The 14,051-nt window shown below is 46.4% G+C and overlaps 1 long non-coding RNA gene across 1 annotated transcript, besides 1 other annotated feature; it reads right to left on the bottom strand.

The window, feature by feature from the left end:
- Nucleotides 6,832-6,891: a silencer, noted in NCBI's record as "silent region_18780". NCBI's record gives its function as "represses an Ori minimal core promoter by ATAC-STARR-seq in GM12878 lymphoblastoid cells {active_cell/tissue: GM12878}" and the evidence as "EXISTENCE:reporter gene assay evidence [ECO:0000049][PMID:35858748]".
- LOC124901773 (uncharacterized) lies at nucleotides 6,871-12,640 on the bottom strand. The gene is made up of 2 exons (XR_007060587.1): nucleotides 12,332-12,640; nucleotides 6,871-10,114 (listed from the first exon to the last, which is right to left on the bottom strand). It is a non-coding gene; the product is annotated as an uncharacterized LOC124901773 (long non-coding RNA).
- Nucleotides 12,641-14,051: the final 1,411 nt, after the last annotated feature.

The following is a 14,051-nucleotide window of genomic DNA, read 5'->3' as shown; positions in this document are numbered from 1 at the left end:
TTGGCCCCATAAGCATCAAGAGCGTGCAGCTGCAGCGTCAGGGCACCTGATAGGCAGCCAGGTGGTGAGAGCTGGGAGCCCTGCTGGGCACTGACGTAGCCCATGCTGCAGGGCTGAGAGCCCTTCCTGCCTCAGGTGTGGCCTCCCACTAAGAGGATTTACCCAGTGAAGGGCAGAGTGGGCCCACACACCTGGCAGCAAGGGCAGAGAGACACCGTGGTTGGGAAAGGCAGAGGGTGCAGCCCCCAGGGAACAAATCAGCAACATGAGGAGTCACCGAAAATGCCGAGTACTTTAGGCAGACACTGCAAAGTCAGGGGTCGGTGTGAGCCATACACACACACACACACACACACACACACACACACACACACACACACACACATTACCACCATAATGGCTCCTCCCCCCACCACCACCACGTTCTCCCTGACGGGGCAGGAGGAGGCCCCAGCGCACAACTATTTCAGAGACACCCGTGCCTGTGCTCAAGCCCCTGCTGCTTTAGAATGAGACACAGGGGACAATGACTGCATAATTCCCCCCCACGCCCCCCCCACACACACACGGAGCCCTTGAAATTGAGGAGAAGGGTCTGTCCTTGGGGAGACAATCAAGTGGCATTCAATGTGGCAAAGGGAATGTTCTATTGATAAAACTACCTTCCCCTCCCAGCAAGTGAAGGGGCCGAGCCGTCACCAGGGGTAGATCCAGGATTTATGGAGCTTGAAGCTTATAGAACTTGGGGGGCCTCTTTTTCAAAAAATACAAAAATGAAAGTACTAAATTAATGACCTTTTATCTATTGATTTCTTTTTAACCAGTAAGGCTTCACGTCTCAAATTTTCCAAATTGAGTCCTCCTATTTTAGTCACTTTGTTAATAATAATAATCTCTACACCTATTGAATTTCAAGTGCTACCAGCAGTGCTGATTTTCCTTTCTCTTTTATAAGATTGGGATTCACCAAACATATCATAATATGCAGAATACATGAAGAATAACCCCATATCAAAAAGCCCTACACATTTAAACACACAAAGTCATTTCACACATAAGGTATTCAAGGTTATACAAAACAGATGACATTGGCACCTTTCACAACCTCTGTGCCTCCGGGTACGACTGGCAATGATTGTGCTCTTGGCAAGATACTATAAACTATTTTTCTGGAAAACATTAAGCAGGTTTATTTTTCCCAAAAAGAGGTTCCCTGCCTTCCCATTGAATGGATGTGGCCAAAATTAATCACTTACCTTCAATTCATGTTGCTACGAGGCCAGGCGAGGTGGCTCATGCCTGTAATCCCAGCACTTGGGGAGGCCGAGGTGGGCGGACCACCTAGGTCAGGAGTTCAAGACCAGGCCGGCCAACATGGTGAAATGCTGTCTCTACTAAAAATACAAAAAAAAAAAAAAATAGCTGGGCATGATGGCGAGCACCTGTAGTCCCAGCTACTCAAGAGGCTGAGGCAGGAGAATCGCTTGAACCTGGGAGGTGAAGCCTGCAGTGAGTTGAGATCATGCCACTGCACTCCAGCCTGGGTGACAGAGCCAGACTCCATCTCAAAAACATATATATATATATATATATATATATATTGCTACCAGATGGGAAAGGCTCTCCATGTTCTTTAGCCTCATCTCTGCATCTATATGTTGGAGAATGTGAAAAAAATATTGGCTCATTGCATTTGAGAGAAATACTGCTTGATTTTCTATTTCATCCATTTTCAAATACCTCAAACTTAAATGCTATACAACTAACAACTGAAGAGCCTTTACTCAATACAAAAAAACAAATGTTTTGAGGGGAGACCAAGGCAGGCCGATCACTTGAGTCCAGGAGTGCCAGACCAGCCTGGGCAACATGTTGAAACCCCGTCTCTACAATAAAAAAGAAAGAGAGAGAGAGGGGGAGGGAGGGAGGGAGGGAGGGAGGAAGGAAGGCAAGAAGGAAGGAAGGAAGGAAAGAAGGAAGGAAGGAAGGAATTAGCTGGTCGTGGTGGCACACGCCTGTCATCTCAGCTACTCAGGAGGCTGAGGTGGGAGGATCACTTGAGCCCGGGTGTTGGAGGTCGCAGTGAGCCAAGATTGCATCACTGCAGTCCAGCCTGGGCAACAAGGACAAACCCCATCTCAAACACACACACAGACACACACAAGTTAATGTGTATGACTTTGTCAAATTCAAGGAATTTTAACCCTCTGGTTTCACCCATCCACAGCACTGACCATGTAGCCTACCACAGTGGCAGGAAACAAATCACAAAACTAATTGTATTCCAGCTGGAGAATGAGGAGTGTAATGAAGGGTATACATCTAAAATAACTGAAAGAAGGATATCGAGAGGCATTTGTACACTCATATCCACAACATCATTATTCACAATAGCCAAAACATAGAGGCAACCCAAATGTCCATTGACAGATGAATGGATAAACAGAATATGGTATATATACGCAATGGAATATTGTGCAGGCCTTAAAGGGAAGGAAATCCAGTCTCAACGTGCTACAACATGGATAAACCTTGAGGACATCATGCTAAGTGAAATAAGCCAGTCACAAAATTAAAAATACCACCTGATTTTATTTATATGAGGTATCTAGAGTAGTCAAATTCATAGAAATAGAAAGTAGAATGGTGGTTGCAAGGACCTGTGGGGAGGGGAAAATGGGGAGTTGTTGTTTAATGGGAGTGGAATTTCAGTTTTGCAAAATGAAAATGTCCTGGAGATTGGTTGCACCACAATATGAGTATATTTAACACTGCTGAACCATCCCCTCAAACATGGTCACGGTAATGTCTGAGTCTGTTTGCGCTGCTATAACAAAATACCTGAGACTGGGTAATTTATAAAGAACAAAAACTTATAAAATCATAAAGAACAGAAATTTTCTCCCCATTCTGAAGGCTGGAAAGTCCAAGATCAAGGGGCCAACAGATTCAGTGTCTGGTGAGGGCTGCCCTCTGCTTCCAAGATGGCGCCTTCTTTATGCGTCCCCACATGGAAGCGCAAAAAGAGGCCTAGCTAGTTCCCTCCAGCCCTTTTATAAGGTTGTTAATCCCATTCATGAGGGCTTTGCCCTCAGGACTTAATCACCTCCTAAAGTCCCCACTTCTTAATACTGTTGCATTGGGGATTAAGTTTCAACATGAATTTTGGGAGGTCACACAAGCATTCAAACCATAGCAGATGGTAAATGTTATGTTATGTGTATTTTACCACAATCCTTAAAAAGAAAAGAAAGAAAGGCATAAGGAACCCCTAGTTACCTCTCATCCAGCTTCAAAATTGTCAGTGCATGGTCAATCTTGTCTTATCTGCCCCTCACCCACCCTTTTCCAGAAAGAAGACCCAGAGGATTCCACATCTGCCTGGAAACCACGACCAGTCTCGACTGGAAGTTGTTGTTAATGTTGCATGTCTTCATAAAACCTCTAGTCATTTCTAGTGTCCCTCAGAATTTTTCCAAATTCAGGCAAACACAGAAATTACTTCCAAAAATTCAGCAGAGCCGTCACTTAGCCTTAATTCAGAGGATTCTGTTACAGATGGGCATCAGCATCTGAAATGCTGGCATGAGCTGGGCATTCCCCACCTGCACCCCCAATTTAGTATCCAAGCGGCTGAGAGATCAGGTGAAGATAACAGTCATTTTAAAGAGCTGGAATTCTCAAAAATTATTTATATCATTTTTCCTTTTAAAAGCATTTAGTTTAAAACAACAGCAAAGACCATCAAAGCATTCCCATTTGGAACTGTCATTCTGGAGAGTCAAACACTGCACATGTCAAGCTGTGAAAAGACATGGGGGATTTTTTTTTTTTTTTTTTTTTTGAGACGGAGTCTCGCTCTGTCGCCCAGGCTGGAGTGCAGTGGCGGGATCTCGGCTCACTGCAAGCTCCGCCTCCCGGGTTCACGCCATTCTCCTGCCTCAGCCTCCCAAGTAGCTGGGACTACAGGCGCCCGCCACCACGCCCGGCTAATTTTTTGTATTTTTAGTAGAGACGGGGTTTCACCGTTTTAGCCGGGATGGTCTCGATCTCCTGACCTCGTGATCCGCCCGCCTCGGCCTCCCAAAGTGCTGGGATTACAGGCGTGAGCCACCGCGCCCGGCCGACATGGGGGAATTTTAAATGCATATTATGAAGTGAAAGGAGCCAATCCAAACAGGCTACATACCATATGACTCCAACTCTGGAACATTCTGGAAAAGGCAAAACCATGGAGACAGTAAAAACTTCAGTGGTTCCCAGGGGTTTCGGTAGAAGGAGGGATAAATAGGTGGAGCACGGAGGAGTTTTAGGGCAGTGGAAAGACTGTACAGTGGATACGTGTCATTATACATTTGTCCAAACCCATAGAATATACAACGCCGAGGGTGAGCCCTAATGGAAACTACGAACTTAGGGTGATAATGATGTGTCAGTGCAGATTCATCGATTGTGTGAAGTGTACCACTCTGATAGTGGGGGAGGCTATGCTTGTGGGGATAGAGAGTATATGAGAAATTGCTGTACTTTCTGCTCAATTTTGCTCTGAACCTAAAACTGCTCTAAAAATAAAGTCTATTTTTTAACAAAAGTTGCTTCATACCAACTATCCAATGGACAGCAAAGAGGTGTTTGATGCAATTCTATTTGTTCAGTATTATTTGGAAAACTTTTCATATTTTCCAGTGAATATAGAAAAGTACGTTCTCCCTTGACTGGGGCAGTGAAGAAGAAAAGAAAAAAGAAGAATAAAAGAAAAGTGGATTCATCCTCCCATCAATTCAACCACAAACAATTATTTGGATCAGTTGTCTCATTAGTTTGCCTTTCCCAATCTTTCTTTTGTGAAAAGAGACAAGGTCTCACTCTGTCTCCCAAGCTGGAGTGCAGGGATGTGATCATAGCTCACCGCAGCCTCAAACTTCTGGGCTCAAGCGATCCTCTCATCTCAGCCTCCCAAGTAGCTGGGACTACAAGCACCACCGCACCCAGCTAAGGCCTTTCTCAGTCTTGAAGGGACTATTTTGAAATCACCCCCTATATAAATTAAGCAAGCAGTCCTGTTAGCCCCTCCCCCTTCTCAGCCATCATGGTCTCTTGAGCCAAAGGAAATAGCCCGAAACAAAAACTTCAATTCAACCAAAAACATTTCCTCTCCTCGTCCCAACACATTTGCTTCTTTAGGAGTCTTAGGAGAGAAATTTTCAAAAGGAACAAAAAGATCATATACAAACATATATTAACTTGTCACGGGAAAATTCTAGCACATGATGATAGTACAGCAAAGTGTAATGAACTTTCCCTATCACCCCCCGCTTCGAAATTATCAACACAGAGTCAGTGCTGTTTCACCTCTACCCCCACCCTCACCCACACCCCAGATGATTCTGAAGCAAATCCCAGACAGCGTTTCATTCAGTACGTATCTCTGAAGGATAAGGGTCCTCGTATTTCATAAGCACAACATAATCATAACTAAGAAAAATTAATAATCCTGGCCAGGCACAGTGGCTCACACCTGTAATCCCCGCCCTTTGGGAGGCCGAGGCAGGCAGATCACCTGACCTCAGGAGTTCAAGAACAGCCTGGCCAACATGGTGCAACCCCGTCTCTACTAAAAATACAAAAATTAGCCGGGCATGTTGGTGGGCACTTGTAATACCAGCTACTCCGGAGGCTGAGGCGGGAGAATCGCTTGAACCCAGGAGGCGGAGCTTGTAGTGAGCAGAGATCACGCCATTGCACTCCAGCCTGGGTGACAGAGTGAGTCTCTGTCTCAAAAAAAATAAATAAATAAAATAAAAATTAACAATCCTGTAATATCAAACATCCCATTGGCGTTCAAATTTCCCCAGTAAACATCTACATTTGAAACACGTACTTACAGATGAAAGCAGCCGCGGCTTTTCAGCTGGCGTCGTCGGCTTCCCACTGCCTCTCCACGCGGCCTCTCTCCTCCTGCAGTCGACTGGGAGTTGGTGTCTCACCCGATCGATGCACGGCCTGTTCGATATTGTAGGTCTTAGTGAGCAAGCTTCCACTGCTGGCTTTTGGGCTAATTCTCGCTGGAAAGTTACCCTACGTTTTCTTCTTATGTCCTCTTTAAACCGGAAAAGAAACACATTTCTTTCTTTCTTTCTTTCTTTTTTTTTAGACGGAGACTTGCTGCGTTGTGCAGGCTGGAGTGCAGTGGCGCGATTTCGGTTTACTAAAACCTCCTCCTCCTGGGTTCAAGCAATTCTCCTGCTTCAGCCTCCTGAGTAGCTGGAATTACAGGCGCCCGCCACCAAGCCCGGCTCATTTTTTGTATTTTTAGTAGAGACGGGGGTTTCTCCATTTTGGTCAGGTTGGTCTCGAACTCCCGACCTCAGGTAATGCACCCGCCTCGGCCTCCCAAAGTTCTGGGATTACTGGCGAGAGCCACCGCTCCCGGCCCAAGAAACACATTTCTAACTGCATTCCTTCCAGCTTCTTATCTCCTCTATCTCAGCTGTCAACCTTCCTTTCATCTCTAACAGGACCATTTATTTTTATGACTCTGCTTTTCGGACTCACTTCTTTAGGGCAGTCCGAAAAGTTCATGGTTCTAGACATTAATTCATTCGACAAATACTAACTGGACGCCTACATGGTCCCTGACTTGTATTCTAACATCAATGCGGCCCCTAAGGGCACTGGAGAAAACAGCCCTGGCTGCGGATCCATCCATTCACTCAACGTCAGATCTCAAAATGTGCACTAGAGGGCGCCGCTCTCCTCCCGGCACCGGTGAAAGTGGTGCAGCCGCGCACCACCGAGAATACTAAGCCGTTAGGTCCTCTCTACCTACCCGCGCGGTCTAACAAATGAAGAATCTCACACAACCCGCACTTTTAAAATGAAATAAATTCCATTTATTGGAAGCACAAACAAAGAGAAAGAGACAAACATGGCATAACTGCCCCAAACAGGTCCATTTTCCATTAGAGATGACAGGCAAAGGGCCTAGTTTACGAGTTTGGTAAAATTATGAAAAGGTTAAAGGTTGTTTTCAACCCCAAATACCAAAAGAAAACTGCAAAATCAAAATCAATAAATCTGAAACTCGTGTCTACAAAGTGCAACCTATCAACTTTGCTGTTAAATGTAGTCCCAAATATTACAGTACATTTGAAAAATTAATCGGTTTGATTTGCTCACATTATAAAATTTCCCGAGAAGACCCCATAATGGCCAAGGAAACAGAGCCAGTTAATAGAGCAAACATTTCCTTGGCACCTGAAAGTTGCCCAGTTTTGTTCTGGGCAGTGGAGAGACAGGGTCCCACTGTCCTGGACAACTCACGTTTGAAGCGGGAGATCCTGAATAAGCAAACATGTAAATAAGCAAGGCAATGTCCATCATCAATGTTCAGGGGGAAATAAAACTGGGCAACTTGCAGTAGAGGGCTGGTTAGTTAGAGATGGGTCTGAGCAAGGCCCCAGAAGATGACAGCTGTGTTGATACCTAAGTGACAAGAGGGAGCCCTGGGAAGCTCTGAGAACAGAATATTCCATGCAGAGGTAACAAGGCAAAGGCATTACCCATGACGGTGTGTGAGTTTCTAAAGGAAAAAGAAGAGCAGGAAAGATACAGTATGACAAGGAAAGGGAGAAATGGACGGGAGCAGACAACAGAGGTAATCATGGAAAGGAGGGTGGTTTGGTTTTTGTTTTGTTTTCTTTGTTTTGGATTCTGTCTTTTAATTAAATTGAATCAAATTATAGAGAGCAAATGCTTTTTTTTCATCTGTTGAGATAATCATGTTTTCTCCTCCACTAATCTGCTGAAGTGGTACATTTCTTTAATAGATTGTCTGATGTTGAATCAACCTTTTATTTGTGGGATAACACCTTCCTGGTCATGTTATACTTTTTCTTTTTTTTTTTTTTTTTGAGACAGGGTGTCGCTCTGTTGCCCAGGCTGGAGTACAGTGGCGCGATCTTGGCTCACTGCAACCTCCGCCTCCCAGGTTCAAGCGATTCTCCTGCCTCAGCCTCCCAAGTAGCTAGGACTACAAGCACGCACCACCATGCCCAGCTAATTTTTGTATTTTTAGTAGAGACAGGGTTTCGCCACGATAGCCAGGCTGGTCTCCAACTCCTGACCTCAAGGGATCCGCCCTCTTCAGCCTCCCAATGTGCTGGGATTACAGGCGTGAGCCACCATGCCCAGCCATGCTATACTTTTAAATACATTTCTGGGTTTAATCTGCTAATATTTTATTTTGGATTCGTACAATTCTGTTCCTAAGTGAGACTGGCTGAAAATTTCTCTACATGGTGCTGTTCTGCTCTGGTTTCGTCTTCAACTTTTACTAATCTACCTCATTAAATGAGTTTGGATGTGTTTTTCCCCCTACTCGCTGGAACTGTTTGTATGTGAGAGCTTATCTTTTCATTAAAGGTGGACAAACCTCCTCAGTAAAACTATCTGGGCCTCCTATCTTAATTAACTTAAGGGAATGAAGGTTATATTTTTGACCACTGATTCAGGTACTCTAATGCTTATAGGTATATTCAGATTGGTTTAAGTTTCTTTTAGTAATTTATATTTTTCTAGAAAATAATCCATTTCATATAAATGTAAAATAGTCATAAATTGTTCACAGTATTTTATCATGATTTTTCAAAATCTCTATTGTATCCATGGTAATCATCTTCTTTTCATTCCTAGCATTGTTTATGACTGACTTCTCTCTTTTTTTTACTTTTTGCAGAGGTTTGTCTGTTTTATTTGTCTTTTCAAAGAACGGGTTTTGGTTTTACTGAGTCTCTTTAATATTATTTTTGTTTTGTAGTCCATTAATTTTTATCCTTATTTTTTTCCTTCTTTGGCTATATATTCCATTATTTTTCTAACTTCTTAAGTTGAATTTTTTTTTAAAGAGACAGCATCTCACTCTGTCATCCAGGCCAGAGTGAGGTGGTGCAAACATAGCCTCGAACTCCTGGGCTCAAGGGATCTTCCAAGTAGCTAGGACTACAGGTGCATGCCACCATGCCCAGCTAATTTTAAAAAAAATTTTTTTAGAGATGGGATCTCGCTACGTTGCTCAGGCTGGTCTCAAACTCCTGGATTCAAGCAATCCTCCTGCCTTGGCCTCCCGAAGTGCTGGGATTACAGGTGTGAACCATCCCACCATGCCTGGCCTTAAATTGAACTCTTGACTTTTTGATTTTCAAAACGTCTTCTTTTCTGATGAATACATTTAAAGCTAAACATTTCCTCTAGTTGATTTCAGTTGTATCCACAAGTTTTGAAGTGTAGCATTTCACAGTAGTCATTAATTCATAAATATTTCATTATTTCCATCACAATTTTTTCTTTGATTTGAATTATTAATAAATGTGTTTTTGAAATCCCTGAATGTGCCAGCCTGGGCAACAAAGTGAGAACCTGTCTCTACAGGAAAAAAAAAAAAGTTTTAATTAGCCGGGCATAGTGGCACATGCCTGTAGTCTTAGCTACTTGGGAGGCTGAGGTAGGAGGATCCCTTGAGCCCAGGAGTTTGGGGCTGCAGTGAGCCATGATGACACCACTATACCACTCCAGCCTGGGCGGCAGAGTGAGACCCTATCTCAAAAAAAAAAAAAAAAAAAGAAAAGAAAAAGAAAGAAAAAAACCCTGAATGTATACAAGTTTTCATTTGCTGTCTTTTGTGAATGACTTCTATTGCATTGCGTTCACAGAATGTGACCTACCAGTGATGTGTAGTATCTGTTGCGACTTGCCTTATTGCCTAAAATAGCACCGCCATATTAACTGGCCCTGTTTCTTGATTTTCTCTTATTGTAAAATGTCCTGAATATGCTCCGACAATGGCCAAGAAAACAGTCCCATTTTATAATACTCTCCAGGCATGAGGGAGAACTCACTATAAATACCTACCCACCAGGGGGAGGCAGTATGGAACCCCAGGAGCTCCAGAAGTGATATTTTGGTTGTCCAAGGGTCCAGCTCTATGTCCAGAACAAGAATCCCATCAAGACAACCTTCATGCAACCAGGCCAGCCATCTCTTCATCGGGAGCTCCCCATGTCAGACACTGGGAGCCTCGGGCCTGCAAGATCACATCCACGCCCTCAAGTTACACCTGTGAAAGTGAACCAGAAAATGTTGCACAAATATGATTTGTCATTGATTGGAGATCAAGCCAAAAACACATGAGAAACTAATCTCAAGAAAATGAGAGAAAAGGGAACACAGGGCATGCGTGATAATTTACCAAATGACAAGTTTGCACGGCAAAGTATGGGCTCTGAGCAGGGAGAAACCACAGAGTAGTAGCCAGGCAAGCCGGAGAGCACCCCAGGCCTGTCCATAGACACCCCCTCTGAGACTAACGCTCACCATGCCCTTGTGAATAAGTCCCTGGGATTGATGCTTGGGACCTCTGTCACTCGGGCCATAGCTATGGGACCAGGGGATGTGCCCCAGCCTAGGGAAGCCACCTCGAGGCTCACAGATGACACAAGCAGAGCCAGGAGAAAGGATTCTGCCTAAGAGATTCCCTAAACAAGACTGTGAGCAACCACAGTACAACCTCCCTCGGGGTCCGCATGCGGCATAAGGAGAGGCACCTGCAGAAAGCAGAGTGCTGAGGAAGCTAGAGGAAGAAGAAGGCAATTCCTATGGAGAGGTTCACGGCTGCTAGGTGCGGTGGCCCACGCCTGTAATCCCAGCACTGTGGGAGGCTGAGGCGGTGGATCACTTGAGGTCAGGAGTTCGAGACCAGCCTGGCCAACATGGTGAAACCCCACCTCTACTAAGAATACAAAAATTAGCCAGGCGTGGTGGCAGGCACCTGTAATCCCAGCTACTCAGGAGGCTGAGGCAGGAGAATCACTTGAACCCAGGAGGCAGAGGTTGCAGTGAGCCGAGATCACACCACTGCACTCCAGCCTGGGTGACAGAGTGAGACTCTGTCTTAAAAAAGAAAAAAAATGGTTCATGGCTGAGACCCCCGTAACAAAAGCCAGGTCAACAAGGGAACAGCATACAAATGTATTTAATATAAATTTCATGTGACACAGGAACTTCAGAAATAAAGACCCAGCCGGGCGTGGTGGCTCACGCCTGTAATCCCAGCACTTTGGGAGGCCGAGGTGGGCAGATCATCTGAGGTCAGGAGTTCAAGACCAGCCTGGCCAACATGGTGAAACCCCGTCTCTATTAAAAACACAAAAAAGTAGCCAGGCGTGGTGGCGCACGCCTGTAATCCCAGCTACTCAGGAGGCTGAGGCAGGAGAATCGCTTGAACCCAGGAGGCGGAGGTTGCAGTGAGTTGAGATCGAGCCATTGCACTCCAACCTGGGCAACAACAGTGAAACTCCGTCTCAAAAAAAAAAAAAAGAAAAAAAGAAATAAAGACCCAAAGAAACAGGAGAAACTGTCTTCATGCACAGTCGTGCAGATGTGTGATTGGAGGACAAGAGGGTGTGACTTATGCTAATAAACTGGGGGACTTAGCAAAGCCTGTTTGTTCAGATTCTTCCTGGGGTCTCTGTAGGGCACTCCTTTTCTCCAGGGATAGGGAGGATGCTTCTGGAATGAGGGTCTTATGACCTGCTTTAGAGGAAGATCCGAGAATTCTTCTATGGCCTGCTTCGGGGGAGACAGGCGAGGGGAAGGGCAACGTGGCCTTCCTGCTTCTGCCATTTTCTTGATGCCAAGATGCTATATTTTGGGGTGGCATGTCCTGAACCCTGTTAAAGCCAAGAGCAGTGGCAGAAAGGAGAAGAACAGGCATTGGCCATGCACAGCAGACCCCATGAGTGAGCACCAGGCCAGAGGTGGGAAAAGCAGCAGCCAGTGCATCGCCTTGGCAGCCTGAAATACGGTTCTCACGATGTCATAAAGACGGAATCCTCCGCAGTCCCTGGGACTATATGTAGTCCATTTTCCCTCTGGAAGCCCCATACGCTTCCTCCTGCTCCGTAATTTCTGAGAGCACTCATGTGCAGCGGAAGCTGTCACCTCTGTCCATCAGCCAGTCCCTCCCCCACCTCTCAGAACGCCTGTGCACCATCATGTCACCCTCTCCAGAAGACTCTCTTGCCCCACACATGGACACAGTTTTCACTACTCCTATAAACTCAGATTCTCTTGAACCCACATGCTTTAAACCCCATCTCAGGGGACCCTGTCATCCCCCAGCAGGTTTCCATGTGCCAGGGGAAGGACCAGCTCAGCCCCTCCCCACTGAGAGATTTTCAGGTCCTTCCCACACCCCAGAGGCCCCTGTCCCTGATGCTCTGCCTTACAACAGCCTTTTGACAGTGATTGTTATGAAACGGGAGAGCAAACACACCAGCCTGAAGTGTCTGTGTTTGAGATGCTTTCCAAGTCCAAGGCCAGTGCAAGAGTAGCAGTGTGTATTTGTTTAGTGTTGGTTTAACTGCAAGGGCCTGATGACCTTCCAGAAACAAAGAAGTTCTGCTCCAAGGTGACTTTCTGTGTCTGCTGCTAGAAACTGCTAGCAACTGCAGTTCTCCTGCTTAAAGAAAAAAAATCCAGTTTCAGTTCACCAAGCGTCTGTACAGAGCAGAGATGGTGGTAGCCTAGCGCAGAGCAAAACCCGAGTCACAGGAATGGTGGCAAGCCTAGAGGAGCAGGAGCAGCGTCCCAGGGACCTCTCCAGCCTGCCCCGTGAGGCCTGGCCACTCAGCCGAGCTGGGGGGTCACCACCCAAAAGAGGCCTGCACAAGCAGTCGGGGAAGCACCCAAGAAGAACCTGAGGTCGGCCAGTCCACCCCATTCATTTCATGTATCAGAAACTGAGCCTCGAGATGGTAAGGACCTTGGCCAAAGACATGTGGTCAGACTAGACCCCAACCCTTGACCTGTGAATTTGACTCTTGTCCCTTGTTTCCAGTGGAGAGGGGCTTCAGCACAGCTGGTGAGGGTCACCAGCATTTAGGTCCTCTGGCCTGGCCTCTCACCAAGGAGATGGTCACCTCCAGTCCATTCATCCAGCAGCAGCTCACTGAAGGCCCAGAGGTAACCAGTGTCACACAGAAAGGCCAAAGAAAGGGGCAGGTCATGATCTACTGTGTGCAAGATGCTTCAGCTTGTGTTCTTCAAAGACCTTGCCTTAGGGTGGGGATCCTAGAAGCAGAGCCTGAGACAAGGATTCTTGTTCAGGCAGGGAAGGTGAGAATTGTCAGGGAAGGGTTCTAGAGAGGGAGAGTGGCCGGAAGCAGCACAGGGCAGAGAAAGAAGCCAGCAATGTTCCCCCAGGAGAGCAGCTTCAGTCTGATACCTTTGTGTGGGCAGTCATTTGCCAGGGGGCAGCCCCCAGGCTGGGCAGCTGTAGGCCATCAGCGGCCCACACTCACAACCGCTGGAAGGTGGCTGGGCTGGGGCTCTGAGAGCATCACAGCAGGTGTCTCCACCATGGGCATGATGAGAAAGGTCAGGCTCAGATGTTAAGGAGGTTTGGGCACTGTGGCTCACGCCTGTAATCCCAGCACTTTGGGAGGCAGAAGTAGGTGAATCACCTGAGGTCAGGAGTTCGAGACCAGCCTGACTAACATGGAAAAACTCCATCTCTACTGAAAGTACAAAAATTAGCCAGGTGTGGTAGCATGTACCTGTAATCCCAGCTACTCGGGAGGCTGAGGTAGGATAATCACTTGAACCCGGAAGGCAGAGGTTGCAGTGAGCTGACATAGTGCCACTGCACTCCAGCCTGGGTGACAAAGTGAGACTCCATCTCAAAAAAAAAAAAAAAAAAAAAAGCTAAGGAGGCCTTAAGGAGGGTGGAGATGGGAACCAGGGGAGGGTCCCAGACAGCGGGTGGAGGAGCCATGCTGTGTGAGCCACCTGCTTCTGTGCCCAGGACTGGCCCTTCCCTTAGTGTTTCCCTCCTGTACTGCGTCTGTACTCCAGGAAATTCCTATACAGCCAGGCTGGGCAGGCCAGGTCAGGATGAGCCCCGCTGATGTGTGCGCCAGTCCTGGAGGGTGGGGGTGGCGGTGGCTAGTATCTGGGCCCTGGGGAAGGCAGCAGCCTCTTGTCTCTACCAGCTC

This window comes from Homo sapiens, chromosome 7 (genome assembly GCF_000001405.40).
Source record: "Homo sapiens chromosome 7, GRCh38.p14 Primary Assembly".
Lineage (NCBI taxonomy): Eukaryota > Metazoa > Chordata > Mammalia > Primates > Hominidae > Homo > Homo sapiens.
This window is presented reverse-complemented; position numbering and strand designations above follow the sequence as displayed.